The sequence below is a fragment of the Homo sapiens genome, chromosome 5 (assembly GCF_000001405.40).
Source record: "Homo sapiens chromosome 5, GRCh38.p14 Primary Assembly".
Classification (NCBI taxonomy): domain Eukaryota; kingdom Metazoa; phylum Chordata; class Mammalia; order Primates; family Hominidae; genus Homo; species Homo sapiens.
The window spans coordinates 125,227,843-125,248,097 of NC_000005.10; the positions used below are offsets into that span (position 1 = coordinate 125,227,843).

The following is a 20,255-nucleotide window of genomic DNA, read 5'->3' on the forward strand; positions in this document are numbered from 1 at the left end:
GGTCAGCAAGCGATAGAAAAAGCAGATCCCTGTTTTTCAGCTGACTTCATCACCCGTCTACAAGGTCATGCTTAATGAGTCACATCACTGTTCATATCACTTGTTAAAATGTACAGAATTTTCTACGGCCTGTCTCTTTCATTTTAAGTGTAGGCTCAAGGGCTTAGATTCAGAAAAATCTGGGGAAATCTGACAGGCTTTAATTCCAAAAATGAGAATCTCTGATATTTCTGTTGTTCTTCCTTTTAAGTAGCTCACTGAAACATTATACATTTTACAGATTGAGAAGTGTGGATTTTAGTGTTAACTGTGTTCTCTTTCCCCATGCACACATCTTTACACCACCTTTTCAATGTAACTGAAGATAGAAGAGCAAGACAGAGAGAGATTAGAACTGTCAGAACTTTAAAATGGGAAGCACCCTGACAGACTAGAAGAAAAAAAAATAAACCAAGACTTGTTAACGCTATAATTTCACTGAGGGTAGGTATCTTGTTGTTGTTGTTGTTGTTTTTTTTTTTTCATTTGGTTGTTTTGCAAGCTTAGCACTGTGGAAGAAAAATAGAATGTCAATAAATTCAACATCGAACATCTATTCAATGAGTTATTTCCTAGTAGGAGGAAAAAAAATTGAACCAGTCTAGGCAGTCTAGAGGGAAACTGTGTAAATGACTTGTAACTAAGAGGATATGACCCTCTGCATAATTCATAATCATTAGTCTAAGTGACACTTCTGCAATCACTCTGCCAGGGCACTCTAATATGGTGGGGCTGGAACCCAAACAGTCCACTCAGCAGCAGTCCCTATATGATCAGATTTCTCTGAAAGACAACTCCCTGGAAGGCTATATTTGGGCTGCAGGACATATATATATATATATATATATATATATATTTTTTTTTTTTTTTTAACAGAAGATGCTGGCTCAGCTTCATCATGTGTGCAATTTAAGGGTTGCTCAAGTGATTCTTTAAAACTGCATAAAAGCAATTCTGCTGTGCCTGGGAGACAGTGTTGCTACAATGTTCTGTGCATACATCTGCATGATTTCTCAGAGCTAATTCAAATTTAATGCATTGGTAATTCCTTTTTCGCCGAAGCCACCCAGCAGTAATCTGAAGGTCACAGAATGATCTTTCGGCTCAAATAACACTTTTAGACTAGCATAAATGGAGAGGCAGAAATATAATGGGCAGAATTAGGCTTGCAATGATACATTCACCCTCATTACTACCCTGAGTGAGGCTGACCAGAGTTTAGAGTGTTTTTAAAAGGATAATCATAATAGAGTGTTAATAAAACTGAGAGTCAAACTATAGCAGTCTTTTATCAGAAATGGTGTAATAACCAAAATGACAGCATGTGAACAACTTAGAAAATATTTTCCTAACAATTGAAAAGACTATTCTCAGGGTAAAATTAAGGCTTTGATTGAAGCACTTAGAAGAACCAACTCAATCTGTGGGGCATCAGAGACTAACAATTTAGGTTGGTTGTCATAAAAATACTGACATCCAATTAAAGTCCAGATGAATAATAAAAAGAGTAAACTGGGGAGTATTTTAAATGAATTTAAATAAGCTTTTTAAATTTTATAATAAAATTATATTTTTATAAAAAATTGTGAAGATAGTTCAAAGAATTCCCATAGGTCCCACATGCAATTTTCCTAATTATTAACATTTTATATTGCTGTGGTTGATTTGCCATAATGGAAGAACCAATGCTGATACATGATTATTAAATAAAGTCCACACTTTACTCAGATTTCCTTAGTTTTTACCTACTGTCCTTTTTTCTGTCCCAGGATTTTATCGAAGATATCTCATGATATGTAGTTAGTTGTCATGTCTCCTTTGGCACTTCTTCCCTGTGACAGTTTCTCAAACTTTCCTTGTTTTGATGACCTTGACAGTTTTGAGGAGAACTAATCAAGTGTCTTCTTGACTGTCCCTCAATTTGGGATTTGTCTAATGGTTTCCTCGTAATTAGACTCAGGTTGCGGTTTTTGGAAGACCACAGAGGAGAATGCCATTTGTATCACATTATATCAAGGGTTCATGCTATCACCATGACGTCTCACTGTTGATGTTAACCTTGACCACCTGGCTGACATAGTGTTTGTCGGGTTACATTTTTCCCCCTTTCCATATCACATCCATTGGAAAGAGGTCACCGTGCAGCCCACGCTTAAACAGTGCAGTCTTGCACTACCTCCTTGAGGATGGGATATCTACCTGAATTATACAGAATCTTCTACATGGGAGATTTGTCTAGTCTTCCCCATATAGTTTTTAACCATATATTTATATCAATATAAACTCATGGATGTTTATTTTCTACTTTGGGTATAATATACCATGTTATTTTATTGCTCAAATTGTTTCAACTTTGGCCATTTGAAATTTTTTGATTGATCTGAAAGTGTCTCCATTGTTGTGGGGCTTTCTGAAAAAAAAAAAAAAAAAAAAAAAAAAAGACTTTTTTTACTTTCTGGGACTACAAGATGATTAAGCCTCATTTTTTTTTTTTAACTTTTAGATTCAGAGAGTACATGTGCAGGCTTGTTACAAGGGTATATTGTGTGATGCTGAGGTTTAGGGTACAATTGAACTTGTCACCTAAGTAGTGAGCATAGTGCCCAATAGGTAGTTTTTCAGTCCTTTCCCAGTCCCTCCCTCCCCCTTCTTGTAGTTCTTAGTGTCTATTGTTTCCATCTTTACGCCCACGTGTACCCAATGTTTAGCTTCCACTTATAAGTGAGAATGTGTAGTATTTGGTTTTCCATTTCTGCATTAATTTGCTTAGGATGATGGCCTCTGGCTACATGCATGTTGCTGCAAAGGAAATGATTTTGTCCCTTTCTGTGGCTACATAGTATTCCATGGTGTATATGTACCACACTACTGTTGATAGCACCTAGATTGAGTTCATGGCTTTGCTATTGTGAATAGTGCTGTGATGAACATACAAGTGCACGTGTCTTTTTGGTAAAATGACTTATTTTCCTTTGGATATATATCTAGTAATGGGATTGCTCAGTCAAATGGTAGTTTTAAGTTCTTTGAGAAATCTCCAAACTGCTTTCCACAGTGGCTAAACTAATTTACCTTCCCATCAACAGTGTATAAATGTTCCCTTTTCTCAACACAGCCTCACCAACATCTGTTTTTTTGTTTTGTTTTGTTTTGTTTTTTGTTTTTAACTGTTTAAGAATAGCCATTCTGGGCTGGGCGCGGTGGCTCACACCTGTAATCCCAGCACTTTGGGAGGCCGAGGCAGGTGGATCATGAGATCAAGAGATCAAGACCATCCTGGCCCACATGTTGAAAACGCATCTCTACTAAAAATACAAAAAAGCCAGGTGTGGTGGCGGGCGCCCGTAGTCTCAGCTACTCGGGAGGCTGAGGCAGGAGAATCACTTGAACCTGGGAGGCAGAGTTTGCAGTGAGCCAAGATCACGCCACTGCACTCCAGCCTGGGCAACAGAGCAAGACTCAGTCTCAAAAAAAACGAAAACAAACAAACAAAAAGAATAGCCATTCTGAATGGTGTGAGATGGTATCTTACTGTGTTTTGATTTGCATTTCTCTGATGACTAGTGATGTTGAGCATTTTTGCTTTTTTTTTGGCTTCTATGTTTTCTTTTGAGAAGTGTTCATGTCCTTTGCCGATTTTTTAATGGGGTTATTTGGTTTTTGCTTGTTGATTTGTTCAAGTTCCTTATAGATTCTGGCTATTAAGACTTTTGTTGGATGTATAGTTTGTGAATATTTTCTCCCATTCTGTAGGTTGTCTGTTTACTCTGTTGATAGTTTCTTTTGCCATGCAGAAACTATTTAGTTTAATTAGGTCCCATTTGTCAATTTTTGTTTTTGTTGCAATTGCTTTTGAGAACTTGGTCATAGATTCTTTGCCAAGGCAGATGTCAAGAAGGGTGTTTCCTAGGGTTCCTTCTAGTAATTTTATAGTTTTAGGTCTTACATTCCAGTCTTTTGCTCATCTTGAGTTAATTTTTGTATGTGGTGATAGGTAGGGGTCCACTTTCATTCTTCTGCATGTGGCTAGCCAATTTTCCCAGCACCATATATTGAATAGAGTGCTCTTTCCCCATTTTTGTTGTCAACTTTGTCAAAAGTCAGTTTATTTTAGGTATGTGGCTTTTTTTCTGGGTTCTCTCTTCTGTTGCATTGGTCTATGTGTCTATTTTTCTAGCAGTATCACGCTGTTCTGGTTACTGTAGCCTTGTAGTATGGTGTAAAGTCAGGTAATGTGATGGCTCCAGCTTTGTGCTTTTTACTTAGTATTACTTTGGCTGTTTGGTGAGCCTCATTTTGTATGTTTACCACCCCAGTTTTAGGATCAGCCATTTCTCCAAGGAGCCCTGGTTTCTTTTATTGGAGAATGGATTTAGAGAACAAGATCTGGTGCGAGGTATGTTGGTTGCTACTGAAGTATCATTGTTCTATGTCCTCTCAGCTGACAGAGTAAGGAAATATATGTATGTATAACCCATGTATTAATATATTCACGTATCTATAAATATTAACCTATGTAACACTATGTATTTATAGTAAGCGAAACATGAGTTTATACCAGGGTCTCCAGGTCAAATCTTCATAGATCATACTAGACTCTTCTTTGCTTATTTGTAACTTTCAACTCCAACAGTGAGAAACTTGGTCAATTTGGGAACCCCTTCTACATTTCTTTTGACATCTAGCTAGCATAGTTAGTAACTCAGTCATTTCTATCTGCCCATGATTGTAGAATAGAATATATTTCCACTTCCTACTCAACAGATTGATATTACCTTAAACTATACAGGCAATTAATTAATTCAATGATAATTTCTGAACTAAGTCCTTGCCAGGAACTGAATAGGATTCTTCTTATCCTTAAACATGATTCCCTCAGGCTTAAAAAAACTGTGAGAGAGATTGCATGGCCATTTCTTGTTCTATGGTGGTTAAACAAAAGCATTTGGCTTCAAGTTTTGGCAACCTCGTGAACGTCATAGGAACAAAATCACTAAAAGCTGTTCTTTCCTGAAACCAAGTATTACTCATTGGCAGATGTTATCTGTTAGTAAAAGGTTTGCAACCAGTAAATGCTAGGGATCAAGGTCCTACTTAATACAAAAACCTGACATCATCTGTGTCACTTACAAATCTGGTATTAATTATTTGATAAGCTTGGGGCTGATTTTGTAACACAGACATTTTGTTGTATGAATGGTGAATGTCAAGGATGACTTATTACCCTGAACACATTTAAAAGGAAGGCTAATATAATTTCTTGTAAGAAATACCCAATGGCAGCTGCACGAGAGAGTCAATTACAGTGTTGTATGTGCTACACAGACTTATTTTTCACAGTCAGAGAGAAGGAAGAATAAGGCACATGAGAATCTCTATAGTGATGATGCTCTTGCATCCGTGATTTTTGGATTACAAATATAAGGAAAGAAAAAGAAAACAGGAAAGGGAGGGATATTGCTGAGCAATATGAAAGTGATCTCTTTCGGCCTCCATAATGAATTTATGAGGAGGTTTAAAAGGACCATAAAATAACCCTTTAATAGAATATCAGGTTGAGGGATCATGGAGAGGGATATCAACATTATTATAATTTAATGCAGTAGGATTTTCTATCCTAACAGTTTTATTTAAAAAATATTAAAATAGAAGTTGTTCAGTTTATTGTTTTTTGTAAATACAAAACATGTTGAATGTGTGGCTCATTATGGAAAAAAAAAACCTAAAGCTGAAACCAAACTTCATGAGATTGACTAGATAATATGGCACAGAAGTATTTCCTTAAAGCTCAGTTTAAGTTATGGTTATTTATCCCAAAAGGAGAAGTTTAATTCTGTTTAATATTTGGATTAAACGGAAGGTAAACTGAAGGCAAGCATGGGGTCCCTGCCTCCCTATAAAAGCAGCAATTTATAGAAGGACATGGTGACTCTGACAGAAACAGTTCCTTTCTGCTCCTGACTGATTTGTCCTCTGAAAAATTGCCCACATCCTATGTTGACAATTTGCTGACAACATTACTGAGAATGGAGTTTAGTTTCTAGTAGAGTCACATATCACATAGGCAAACTGGGTACCTGGTTTTTGAACATAAATACATGTTTTCATGGTGGTAGGGGGGTCAACAAGGCAGAGTGTTAAAAGCATATACCCCAAGTACTTCATAAAATATGCTGAAGTTCAGTCTGCCTCTGAGACCTGGTGTTAGAAATACCGATGAAGTCATGTGCATAATAATAAAGTGGCATACAAAGGCCAGAGACTGCTATGGATTCTATTATATGTGGTGTAGCAAGGCTGACCTCTCCAGATACATGCAATGAGGATTCTAGTGTCCCTTTGAAAATGTTACTTAGTCTTTCTGGGTTTCTATTACCACTCAGTGCAGTGATAACAAAGTAAAAGCCCGTATCATTGCTGTTGAATCAGAATGTGATAAGGATTTGAATAAATGACTTAAAAGTTAACCACTGTTCTTGTTCTGATCTTTTTAAAACCTGTTCATGCAATGAGATTGATTTAATCAGAATAAAAAAGAATCAATATTTGTTGAGAAGTCAATGATAAATACATTGATTTCAGTGAGTTTATATCATTAAATACACATGGCAGTGCCTTTCCCACCATGGTTACTCCATGCATGAGAGCTTCCATTCCTATTCCTCTTGCTTCTCTTCAGTAGGTTAATACTAAAGCTTGAAGGAAGGGCTCCTCCTCTAGTTACTTTTTATTCCACATACCTCAAGAGTAAACTTGACATTTTTATATTTATAATGTAGTAATTAAGAATACTTAAAGTAAAATAAAATGACAAGAATCATAAAGTAGAATTTAGTTACTTCCCTTACCATTTTATCAGCTAGATTTTATCAAGTTAACTTTTAAAGACACAAAAATTCTCAAAGCTAGAATAACGTCCAAATCTATTAGAGTGGAATAAAAATTTCTTCAAAATCTGTGTCCAAAAATAGCTAACTAAATTATGGAAAGATTGTCAGTGATGGTTTTTAAAAAAGAAATATAGGTAAAATGATCAAGACATGAAATTTCCACCTATTACATAATTAAATTTAGGAGGTTTGATGATACTGATGGCTGGCAGGTCTGTGGATAGAAGAGCATGTTGGATAAACTGTTGATGAAAGGATAGAATGGAGAGTCTAGAGATCTATTTGGCCAAGACATTTATTTACCAAGGTATTTATGTAAAATGGTAATTACAAAAAAACTCAGAAAACTACCTAGTCATCAATCAAATCAGTTAAGTTGTTTTAATGCTACAATAAGTTATTATGGTGCTAATAATATTGAGTTAGGACTTTGTATATTACCAGGAGAGGATCCTACAAATATATCACAATTCCTCCAAAAAACTAGCAAGATGCAGAACAGCTCATATAACATGACTTCTCATATGAAAATTTGTATTGTTCAAAATACTTCTTCCTTTAAGAAAACTCGAGAAACAATTAGTAGAAATTTCCTTGGGGAGAGACATCAGAGAGAAGGGCTTTTACCTTCTTCCTGTATTTTTATGGATAATTTTAATAACCCATATGTATTTATGGTTTTGTTTAGAAAGTTACCAACAAGGTGAATTGGGTATTGAGATTATGATTTTTTTCTTATTCATAATTTACTAAAGAATTTCAAATACTTGCTATTTAAAATTAACAACCAGTAAGGCCTAACCTGCCTTTTTAGCTCCATTTCTTCCTATGTTTTTCCTTTTCCCATTCCTTAACTGGCTACTTTCAGAATGGGTCATATATTTTCATTTCTCTGGGTTTTCTGCTGGGAATATCTTCCTCCTCCTTTGCCAATCTGGTAAACTCCCCTTTTACTATTTTACACCAACTCAAATACTGTAAGTCCATTGTACTCTTTGTATTTTTAGTGTTTAACCTTGTGCTTAGAAAATGTTACTTGGTATTAAGATTTTTCTTAAAATGTTCTAAGTATTATGGCATCTTTGAAAAATAAGCTTAATACTAGAGGAGATGAAGAGAGTTGTTTTTTACATGCTTCTATATGTGAAGTTTAGAATAGGAACTTTAGCTTATATAGTAAGTCTGTGATATTCAGAATTTTGAAGACACATAATAGCAATAGCATAACAATACTCATGTGCCTATTCAGAAACACCTTGCAGAGCAATGTGGCTACACACCAACCCTTCATGCCCGACCTCCCCTGTGTGAAATATCTCTCCCTACTTTTAGCAGACATTGAACGTGCCAGTGAGAGGTTAGGAATTTTTTTTTTTTTTAATCCTGCAGGGGAGAGGAGCATAGCAGCAGAGCTGAGGGAGAAGTAATCAAGTGCACTGCATGAGAAATTTGCATTATTATCCAGTAGTAGATTGCTTTGCTTGCCTTGTTTTCACCAGCCCTGTCCCTTGACAATCACCTTCACACTCAGCTGCACTTCATAGCTTGTTTACCATGTTGCAATGATGTTTACTCCCTAAGTTTATTTGATGTTGGCCATTTGAAAAAATTATCATTTAAATTGGTTCCTGTAACTAATGAGCATATGTTTCATGTGTGTTTCACAGGAATGAGCCGGTGGAAGTATGAGTGTGTGAAGACTCTTTTTGTAGTTATTTTAGCCACAGTAGAATGTCAGATTTTAAACTATTTAGGTGCCAAGGGGGAGATCTCCCCTGGCATGACATAATAAAAAGAATTTTGTGGAGATGACAAGAAAACTGAAACCAAAGCTGAGATAATTATAAGCTAACTTAAAAAAAATTAAGTCTGAAATGTTTTGAACTTGCTTTGGGACATTTTGAATCTATTGAATGAAGTAATTATTCCCTTCAGACTTGCTAGAGGGAGACTGCAGGAATGTCAGATTCGTCTCTACAGCTACAGATTGCTGTAGTGAGTTACACTGAATGAAAGTGTGCAGAATATATTATAATTCTCTGTAATGATACTGTGGAGGGTGACGCTTGGTACCCAAATCAATGTGATTTGCATATCCCACTCAACTTTGAGAACATGAAATAACTCTACTGAAAGCAAAGCAGAAAGAGAAGGGTAATTAGGAATGAGTTATGGAATCTGAAATGAAATTCTGCAGAAACAGAGGGAAAAAAACCTTGAAGTGAAAATCAGCCACTTAGCATCTTTTCAACACTCTTCTGTGGCTCAGCTGAGTGTTTTGGATAAAGATGACTTGTTCTCTCACTAGAGGTAGGCAAGTGAGGAGGGCCTGACTAATCAGAACCTTGCATTCTCTTGGCTACAATGACTGACTCCTGGATGGGCATGTGACCTGGTAAGACAGCCAGTGAAATGCGGGATACTTGGCAGGAATTGCTGAGAGAAATGCATGCTTATTATTCTCTCCAGCCCTAAATTTGCAATTGTGTAGCTCTGACAGCCAACAACAATGAATGAAGCCAAGATCAGAAGAAGGACCAAGTCCTCAGCCATTGAGATGCTGAGTCAAGCCACAGCTAGAGCTAGAGCTATCCAAGACTTCTTAATAACGTGACCTAATAAATTGCCCTTTTGCTTAGAGATTTAGGTTGGGCTTTCTGTCATTTGCAATGGAAAGAGTTCTGATATATGATCATTAGATTGTTTTATCTGAAAATGTACATGTCTTAAAAACATTGAACAAGGCAATCACTAAAGTTCTTTCCTAAAGATACTGAAATTAGAACCCATAATATCAATGAACTATAAAGGAAGAGATTAGACTGTGGCTGTAAACAATATACCTGACATCACCTCTGGTTTCTTATCACCTTTTCCAGCTTTGAATGATATTTTCATTACCTGTTCATATGTATATTTTAAATATCACTTTTACTTCTTTTGCTAGAATGAGTATGGCAATAGACTCACTAAGCAAGCCTGTGTTTAACACTTTTAATAGCCCTTTAAACAAACAAACTGTTTTAGCCCTCTTATTTGGTCAGAAAGACTACAAAAGCACAAATGGTATTATGGGCATTTTTCAACTCTGTTATTTCATTATAAATGTATTTTATTTAAATAATTTCTTGGCAAATATTCATGACTAAAAGGTACCTGCTTCTGGCCTTTATATATACTCACAGTAAACAGAATACACATTTAATGACAAAATGTCTTTTTTATTATACAAGACAACTTTGCAAGCATTTGCTGTAATAAGAAAACAACACTCAAAAGTGTATTAGTCCGTTCTCATGCTGCTATGAAGAAATACTCAAGACTGGGTAATTTATAAGGAAAGAGGTTTAATTGACTCACAGTTCTGCAGGGCTGGGGAGGCCTCAGGAAACTTACAACCATGGCGGAAAGGGAAGCAGTCACATCCTTCTCCACATGGTAGGAGGAAAGAGAAGTGCCAAATAAAGGGTGAAAAGCCCTTGATAAAACCATTGGATCTCATGATCACTCACTCACTATCACAAGAACAGATGCGGGTAACCATCCCCATGATTCAATAAACTTCCACCGGGTCCCTCCCATGACACGTGGGGATGGTGGGAAGTACAACTCAAGATGAGATTTGGGTGGGGATGCAGCCAAACCATGTCAACAAGTCTTAGCTTGAGAACTTGATTTTAAGAAAGAGCTTCCAAATGTTGCTCTAGAATTATGGCTATCCTCAATCTAGAGATAATCTTGGAAAGGAGATATGTATAATTCTCTTTCATATGGTCATTTTTTATAAGGGCAACAACAGAAAATAACTTTAATGCCCATTGCCAAGAGAATTGATAAAAAGTGGTATATTAATAAAAGGGAATGTTATATTTGTACAAAACAAATGAAACGCAGCTATACAATAATAACAATTTTATGAAACAGTGAGTGAACAAGTCCATATAGACTATCTATGTATACACTGTGATACCATTCTAGAAAGCTAAAAAATTTGCAAAACTAATCAGTATGTTGCTTAGAAATGTATACCCATGTGATATGATTGTTTTGAAAAATCAAGGGAGTTCATGCTTATAATCTCAGCACTGTGTGAGGCAGAGGCTTGAGGACAGCTTGAGGCCAGGGGTATAAGACCAGCCTGGGCAACATAGTGAGACTTCAACTCTACAAATTTTTTTTTTAATTTAAAAAAGCTACAAAAAGCAAGAGAATGATAAAACCAAATTGAGGATGGCAGTTACCTCCTTTTGGGCAAGAAGTTGGAAAAGGCATTAGTTAAGGGCCATGTAGCTAGCTACCTATGGTATTAGTTTGCTGGTGACATCACTGATGTTTATTTAAATTTTATGCGTCATAGTTTATATACAAGAGAACTTCAAAAAGTTTATGGAATTAAAGATAAAAACAAAAAATATAAACTTTATTTCTCAAGATAAGCTTCATCAAGTTCAAGACACATTTGCAAGTGAGGATAGCAGCCATTTAGTCCATTCCTAAAGAACCAAGGGTCTTGGGAATTTAACCTTGTCAATGCACTCTCTTTTACATTATTAACTGAAGAAAAATGGGTGCCCTTTAAGGGTTTTTTAAGATTAGGAAACTAAAAGAAGTCAGAAGGAGCCAAATCAGGACTCTAAGGTGGATGTCTAGTGATTTCTCATGAAAACTCTCACAAAATTGCCCTTGTTTGATGACAGGAATGAGCAGGAGCATTGTCATGGTGGAGAAGCATTCTCTGGTTAAGCTTTCCTGGGTGTTTTTCTGATAAAGCTTTGGCTGACCTCAGAACTCTCTCATAATAATCAGATGTTATCGTTCTTTGGTGCTCCAGAGTCAACAAGCAATATGCTTTAAGCACCCTAAAAATCTGTTGCCATGACCTTTCTTCTTGACCAGTCTGCTATACCTTTGACTAGACCACTTCCCCCTCTTGGTAGCCATTGCTTTGATTGTGTTTTGTAAAGCTTCACGATCATACTGGTAAAGCCACGTTCCATCTTCTGTTACAATTCTTCAAAGAAATGCTTCAGGATCTTGATCCCACTTGTCTAATTTTGCCATTGAAAGCTCTGATCCTACCTGCAGCTGATCTGGGTGCAATGGTTTTAGGACTCAATGCCAAAGTTTTCCACGGAGTTGAAAGTTTGCTCAACTTTAATTTTGCAGTCAGAATTGTGTAAGCTGAACCAATTGAGATGTCTATAGTGTTGACTGTATTTGCGCTGTTAATCACTGATACTCTTCAGTTAGGGCACAAACAGAGTTATTATTCTTTTCTCTCAAATTGATATAGATGGTCTGCCAATGTGGGCTTCTACAATGTTGTCTCATCCCTTCTTAAAATGTGTCCATTTGTAAACTGCTGATTTCTTTGGGGGCATTGTCCCTCTGAACTTTTTGTAAAGCATCAACAATTTCACTATTCTTCCACCCAAGCTTCACCATAAATTTCATGTTTGTTCTTACTTCAATTTTAGCAGAATTCATGTTGCTCTGAAAAGGACTTTTTTCAAACTGAGGTCTGATCTTTCCTATTGCCTCAAACTAGGTCCTGGTTGGGCATGTTATAATAAGTTAGTATAAGTTTCTTTGGGTACAAAAACATTTTGAATTAATGCATAATTTTTTCATAGTACACATTTTCCATGAACTTTTTAAAGACCTCTTATATTTGTCATGTATATTCTTTTGTATGTATCAAATATTACATAATAAAAATTTAAAGATGCTCAATTAACAATGTATATCTGCAAACAGCTTTAACTATGTATGCCTAATAGTTAAGGTATTGTTTGCTGACATACATGCAATTATGTACTTTGAAAATTTATAGGCAAAATTTCTTCCTGCCATTCAAAACATACTAAAATGAAAGATTTAATTTGGATAAAAATGGATAGTTCTCAAAATCTGGAGAGTCCTCAACATCTCTAGTGCTTCTCTTCCCGTTTTTCAACATATATCTAACTAGTGGTGAAAGACAGAATGTTGAAAAAGTATGTGAAAAAACTTACTAGCCATGTTTTTCTTTCTAAAGTTTTTTTAAACTGAACCTGATGAACATGAAATTGCCAAAGTTAACAACCTCCTTTTTTAGTTTGTAAAGAATTATTTTCTTCTTTTTGTTAGTACATATAGATTTATTTCACTTATTTAATGACTACACATCATTATATCACATCTGATTTCTTTTTGATGAACATTTAATCCATTTCCATTTTATTTTATAATTACAAAAGTGTCACAATCAACATTCTTTTTATTTTTAACTTTGATTTTAGCTTCAGTGGTATACCTGTGGATTGTTATATAGGTAAATTGTGTGTTGTGGGTGTTTGGTATATTAATTATTTTGTCAACCAGGTAACTAGTACAGTACCAGATAGGTAACTTTTATTTTCTTTTTCTTTCTTTTCTTCTCTTTCTTTCTTTTTTTTTTTTTTTTTTTTGAGACAGGGTCTCCCTCTGTCACCTAGGCTGGAGTGCAGTGGCACAATCATGGCTCACTGCAGCCTCAACCTGCAAGGCTCAGGTGATCCTCCCACCTCAGCCTCCGAAGTAGCTGGGACTATAGGCACATGCCATCATACCCAGCCAATGTTTGAATTTTTTGTAGAGATGGGTTTTGCCATGTTGTCCAGGCTGGTCTCAAACTCCTGGGCTCAAGCCATCCACCCACCTTGGCTTCCCAAAGTGCTGGGGTTATAGGTGTGAGCCACCACACCCAGCGGTAGTTTTTTGATACTCACCCTTCTTCCACCACCCACCCTCAAGTAGGCCCTGGGTCTGTTGTTCCCTTCTCTGTGTCTGTATGAACTCAGTGTTTAGCTACCACTTATAAGTGAGAACATGCAGTATTTGGTTTTCTGTTCCTGTGTTAGTTTGCACAGGATAATGGCCTCCAGCTGCATCCATGTTCCTGTAAAGAACATGATTTCATTCCTTTTTATGGCCGCATAGTATTTCACGGTGTATATGTACCACATTTTCTTTAACAAGTCCACTGTTGATGGGCTTTTAGGTTGATTCCATGTCTTTGTTATTGTGAATAGTGCTGCAATAAACATATGCATGCATGTGTCTTTATTGTAGAATGGTTTATGTATTTTCTGGTATAAACCCAACTATGGGATTGCTGGGTCAAATGGTAACTCTGTTTTACTTTGTTTCAGAAATCACCAACTGCTTTCTACAATGGCTGAACTGATTTATGTTCCCACCAGCAGTGTATATAAGTGTTTCCTTTTCTAGATAACCTCACTATCATGTGTTATTTTTTTCTTTTCAGTAATAGCCATTCTGACTGGTGTGAGATGGTGTCTCACTGTAGTTCTGACTTGCATTTTTCTAATGATTAGTGATGTTGAGCATTTTCTCATATGCTTACGGCTGCATGCATGTCTTCTTTTGAATAGTGTCTGTTGATGTTCTTTGAATACTTTTTAATGGGGTTGTATTTTGCTTGTAAATTTGTTTAACTTCCTTACAGATGTTGGATATTAGACCTTTGTTGGACGCATAGTTTGTGAAAATTTTCTCCCGTTCTCTAGGTTGTCTGTTTGCTCTGTTGATAGTTTCTTTTGCTGTGCAGAAGCTCTTTAGGTTAATTAGGTCCAATTTGTCAATTTTTGTTTTTGTTGCAATTGCTTTTGGCATCTGCATCATGAAATCTTTGCCAGTTCACAGTTCCTATGTTCAGAAGGGTATTTCCTAGGTTATACTTCCTAGGTTTTTATAGCATTGTGATTTATAGTATTAGCATTTACATTTAAGTCTTTAGTCTATCTTGAGTTTAATTTTTTTATATGGTGTAAGGAAAGGGTCCAGTTTAAATCTTTGGCATATGGCTAGCCAGGTGGCCCAGCAGCATTTATTGAATAGGAAATCCTTTCCCCATTGCTTGTTTTTGTTTAAGATCAGATGGTTGTAGGTGTGTGGCATTATTTCTGGGCTCTCTGTTCTCTTCCATTGGTCTATGTGTCTGTTTTTGCACTAGTACCATGCTGTTTTGTTTACTGTAGCCTTTTAGTGTAGCTTGAAGTCGGGTAATGTGATGCCTCCAGCTTTATTCTTTTAGCTTAAAATTGCTTTGGCTATTCGGGTCTTTTTTGATTCCATATGAATTTTCCAATAGTTCTTTTTTTAATTCCATAAAGAATGTTACTGGTAGTTTGATAGGAATAGCACTGAATCTGTAAGTTTCTTTGGGCAGTATGGCCATTTTAACAATATTGATTCTTCTTATTTATGAGCATGAAATGTTTATTCCTTTGTTTGTGTTGTATCTGAATTCTTTGAGCAGTGTCTTGTAATTCTCATTGTAGAGATCTTTCACCTACCTGGTTAGCTGTGTTTCTAAGTATTTTATTCCTTTGGTAGCTATTGTGAATAGGATTGTCTTCTTGATTTGGCTCTCAGCTTGGATGTTGTTGGTATATAGGAATACTACTGATTTTTGTACCTTGATTTGTATCCTGAAACTTTGCTAAAGTTGTTTATCGGGTCAAGGAGCCTTTGGGCAGATACTATGGGGTTTTCTAGGTATAGAATCATGTTATCTGCATACAAGGGTAGTTTGACTTCCTCTCTTCCTGTTTGGATGCCTTTTATTTCTTTCTCTTGTCTGATTACTCTGGCTGGGACTTCCAGGACTATGTTGAATAGAAGTGATGAAAGAGGGCATCCTTGTCTTGCGCCAGTTTTCAAGGGGAATGCTTCCAGCTTTTGCCCATTCAGTATGATGTTGGCTGTGGATTTTTTCATAGATCACTCTTATTATTTTGAGATATGTTCCTTCAATGCCTAGCTGAGGGTTTTTAACATGAAGGGATATTGAATTTTATCGAAAGCCTTTTCTGCGTCTATTGAGATGGTCATGTGATTTTTGTGTTTAGGTCTGTTTATGTGGTGAGTCACATTTATTGATTTGTGTATATTGAACCAATCTTGCATCCCGGGGATAAAGCCTGCTTGAAAATGGTGGCTTAGGGTTTTGATGTGATGCTGACTTTGGTTTGCTAGTATTTTGTTGAGTATTTTTGCATCTATGTTCATCGAGGATACCAACCCGAAGTTTTCTTTTTTTGTCATGCCTCTGCCAGGTTTTGGCATCAGGATGATGCTGGACTCATAGAATGAGTTAGGGAGGAGTCCCTCTTCTTCAGTTTTTTGATGTAACTTCAGTAGAAATGGAACCAGCTTTTCCTTATCCATCTGGTAGAAATTGGCTATGAATCCGTCTGATTCTGGGCTTTTACTGGTTGGTACACTTTTTATTACCAACTCAATTTTGGAACTCATTATTGGTCTCTTCAGGGGTTTAATGTCTTTCTGGTTCAGTCTTTCTGGTTCAGTTTTACGAGGTTGTATGTTTCCAGGGCTCCACATATTTCTTCTAGGTTTTCTAGCTTGTATGCATAGAGATGTACATGATAGTCTCTGAGAGTCTTTTTTATTGGCAGTGGGGGGCAAGTGTCAGTGGGAATGTCCTCTGAGTCATTTCTGATCATGTTTTTTGAAACTTCTCTCTTTTTCTTTATTAGTCTAGCTAGTGCTCTATTGATCTTATTAATTCTTTCAAAGACCAGGCTCATTGACTAATTGATCTTTTGTATGGTTTTTCACTTCTCAGTTTCCTTCAGTTCAGCTCTGATTTTGGTTATTTCTTTGGGATTGGTTTGCCTGTGTTTCCATAGTTCCTCTAGGTGTGATATTGGTTTGTTAATTTGAGGTATTTCTAACTTTTTGATGTGGGCATTTGGTGCTATAAAATTCCTTCTTAACACTATTTTGGCTGTGTCCCGGAGATTCTGTTATGTTGCATCATTTTTCTCATTATTTTCAGAAAATGTCTTGATTTATGCCTTAACTTTATTATTTACCCAGAAGTCATTCAGGAGGAGGTTGTTTACTTTCTATGTAATCATATGGTTTTGAGCAATTTTCTTAACACTGATGTTTTTTCTCTGTGGTCTGAGAGTACAGTTGTTATCATTTCGTGTGTGTATGTTTTAAATTGCTGAGGATTGTTTTAAGATTGTGTGGTCTATTTTTAGAGTATGTGCCATGTGCAGATGAGAAATATGTATATTCTGTTGTTTTTACCTGAAGAGTTCTATAGATGTCTATTAGGTCCATTTGGTCAAGTGTTGAGTTGAGGTCCCGAATATCTTTTTTTTTTCTGCCCTAATTATCTATGTATTAATGTCAGTGGGATGTTAAATTCTCCCACTATTATTGTATGGTTATCTAAGTCTCTTGGTAGATCTCTAAGGACTTGTTTTATGAATCTGGGTCATCCTGTGTTGGATGTTCGTATAGTTAGGACACTAAGGTCTTCTTGTTGAATTGAGCCCTTTACCATTATTTCATGCCATTATTTGCCTTCTTTGATTTTTGTTAGTTTAAGTCTGTTTCCAGGGCAACAATAGGCTGCACCCCTTGGCAAATTCAGGCAAAAGTAGGACCACTGGACTGGAAACATGAGCAGGTATGGCTCACCTGGGGATACCCGCCCTGCTGTCTGGTGTATCTCAGGACAAAAGAAGGCTGAACCCTTCAGCTGAGTTCACACAGAAGCAAGACTGCTGGGCGGGAAGCTCTAGCAGGTGTTGCCCTTCTGCCTATCAGTGGCAGGGGTGGGTGGGGTCACATGCCTTACCTTCAGGGTGCTTCCCGGGACAACAGGAAGCTGTGCTAGCTGGCTGAGTTCACATAAAGGCAGGACTGCTGGGCTGGAAGCTCTAGCAAGCACTGTCCGCCTGCTACCAGTGATGGGAGTGGGTGGAGCAGCCCAGCTGAGTTCAGGCCTAAGTGAGACTGCTGGGCTGGAAGCTAGTGCCAACTCCTGACCAACAAGGGGGCATGGAGCAATCTAACAGTTGCCAGGCACTGCAACTACAATGTCTACTGGGTCTGTTGCACCAGTACTGGTCCTCTCCGGGGCCCAAGGCTTATAGCAGGTCCCTGGACTCGAGAGTTGCCCCCATAAAATATTTAGGTGGCTCTTCAGCTGTCTAGAAATGTTCGGGTGTCTCTTTGCTGGTCAGTGGGGCATTCAGGAGGGCCAGGGGATTCTTTCATTCCCAGTCTTGCACATGTCCCTGTGGAAAGTGTGAATCCCCCTGGGGGTTCTCAGTCACTCACCATCTTCTGCATTGGAGAAGTTCTCCAGGCTCCATGCTGAGTCCAGACAGACTGGTGCCCAGCTCCGCTCCCCTGCTGACTTGATGGATCCTGACATGGTTTCTCCAGGAATAATTTTCTTAAGCAGGATATTATGGGGGTTAGGAACAAAGTCTTCAAATCAGCCTGCCAATGTTCCAATAAATGCTGTGCTGTTTATTGGTTGTATGATTTTGTGGCAAGTTACTTAACCTCTTTAAACTTCACTTTCTTCATCTGTAAAATGAGGTTAATAATAGTACCTACCTTGCTGAGTTTGAAGATTAAATGAAACAAATGACTATAATAAAAACAAATGTCTATAATAAACTTGGTCACAGGCCTGGCAGCTAGTAAACATTCAATAGATGTTAATTATTATAATTATTATGTCAGCAAGCATACTAGGAAAAGGTGGTAAAAAAGTATTCTTAAATATCAGAGAGAAAAAAAATCACTTGCTCTCTCTAGATTAAGACCTTGGATGTACACTTACATTTGAGTGGTAGAAAGTGCAAAAAGAGAGCCAAACACCCCTATTGCAGAGTTTTCTCTCTTAGCTTGCAATACTTGAAGTTAATGTGTGTTCTATGAAGGAAGAGAAAGAAGTTTGATAAATCTGTCTACACTTATTATTCATAATTCAGGACATATGACAGCTTAAACAAAAAACTGATAACAGAACTGTATTGTACTTTGAAATTCTATACTAGTCCTTAAAATCTACTATATGAAAATATTAATGAGGAAACCCCTCAACTCAACTTTGTAAGCCTAGCATACATGTATATACAATCATGTTTTTCTTTTAACATTGCACACATTCCATTATCTGCTTCAGCAAACAGCTTATAGAGTGAATTAAAATAAGTCAATAGTCAGAAAACAACAAAAATACCAATGTAATAATGGCCTTGGTCACACACAAAAAAGATACATTTTGACAATTTAACAATATCCTGTACTTGACAAAATTCATTCTTAATGATTTTTATTTTTAATTGATACATAATAATTGCACATCTAAATGGAATACATGTGATATTTTGATATAAGCATACAATGTGGAATGACTAAATCAGGTTAACTGGCATATCCATAAATCATTTATCATTTCTTTGTGTTAGGAATATTCAAAATCCTCTCTTCCAGCTATTTTGAAATATATAATAAACTAGTATTAATTATAGTCACCTTATTGTGCTATAGAATACTAGAATTTATATCTCCTATCTGATGGTAACTTTACCCATTAACTAACCTCCTTCTGTCCCCCACTTACTACTACCCTTCCCAACTTCCAGTGACCACCATTCTGTCTACTTCTGTAGGATCAACATTTTCAGCTCCTATATGTGAGTGATAACATGTTTTTTGTCTTTCTGTGACTAGCCTATTTCACCTAACATAATGTTCCCCAGGCTTATCCATGTTGCCACAAATAACAGGATTTCATTATTATTGTGGCTGAATAATATTCTATTGTGCATATATACCACATTTTCTTTATCCATTCTTCCATTGATGGGCACTTAACGTTTATTCTATCTCTTGATTATTGCGAATAGTGCTGCAATAAACATGGGCATACAAATATCTCTTCAACATACTGATTTCTTCAAAATATACTTAGTAGTGGGATTACTAGATCATATGATATTTCTTTTTTTAGATTTTTGAGGAAATGCCATGCTGTTTTTCATGTCTGCACTAATTTACATTCTTATCTACGGTATATAAGAGTTCTCTTTTCTCTGCATCCTCACCAGCACTTGCTATATTTTGTCTTTTGGGTCATAATCATTTTAATTGGGGTCAGATAATGTCTCATTGTGGTTTTGATTTGCATTTCTCTGATGATTAATGATCTTGAGCATTTTGTTGTAAACCAGTTAGTCATTTTGTATGTTGTCTTTTGAGAAAAGCCTATTAAAATCATTTTCCCAGTTTTAATCAGATTATTATTATTATTATTGCTGGTGCTGTTACTTGTTTGAGTTCTTTATATATTTTGGATATTAATTTCTCATCAGATGGATAGTTTGAAAATACTTTCTTCCATTCTGCAGATTGTCTCCTCACTCCATTGATTGTTTCCTTTGCTGCACAGAAACTGTTTAGTTTTGTGTAATCTCATTTGTCTATTTTTGTTCTTGTTGCCTG

General features: G+C 36.5%; 1 long non-coding RNA gene across 1 annotated transcript in view; it reads left to right on the forward strand.

Moving 5' to 3' along the window:
• The window catches only part of LOC101927421 (uncharacterized), a 330,904-nt gene that overhangs the window by 191,012 nt on the left and 119,637 nt on the right, over positions 1–20,255 (forward strand). The window lies entirely within an intron of this gene.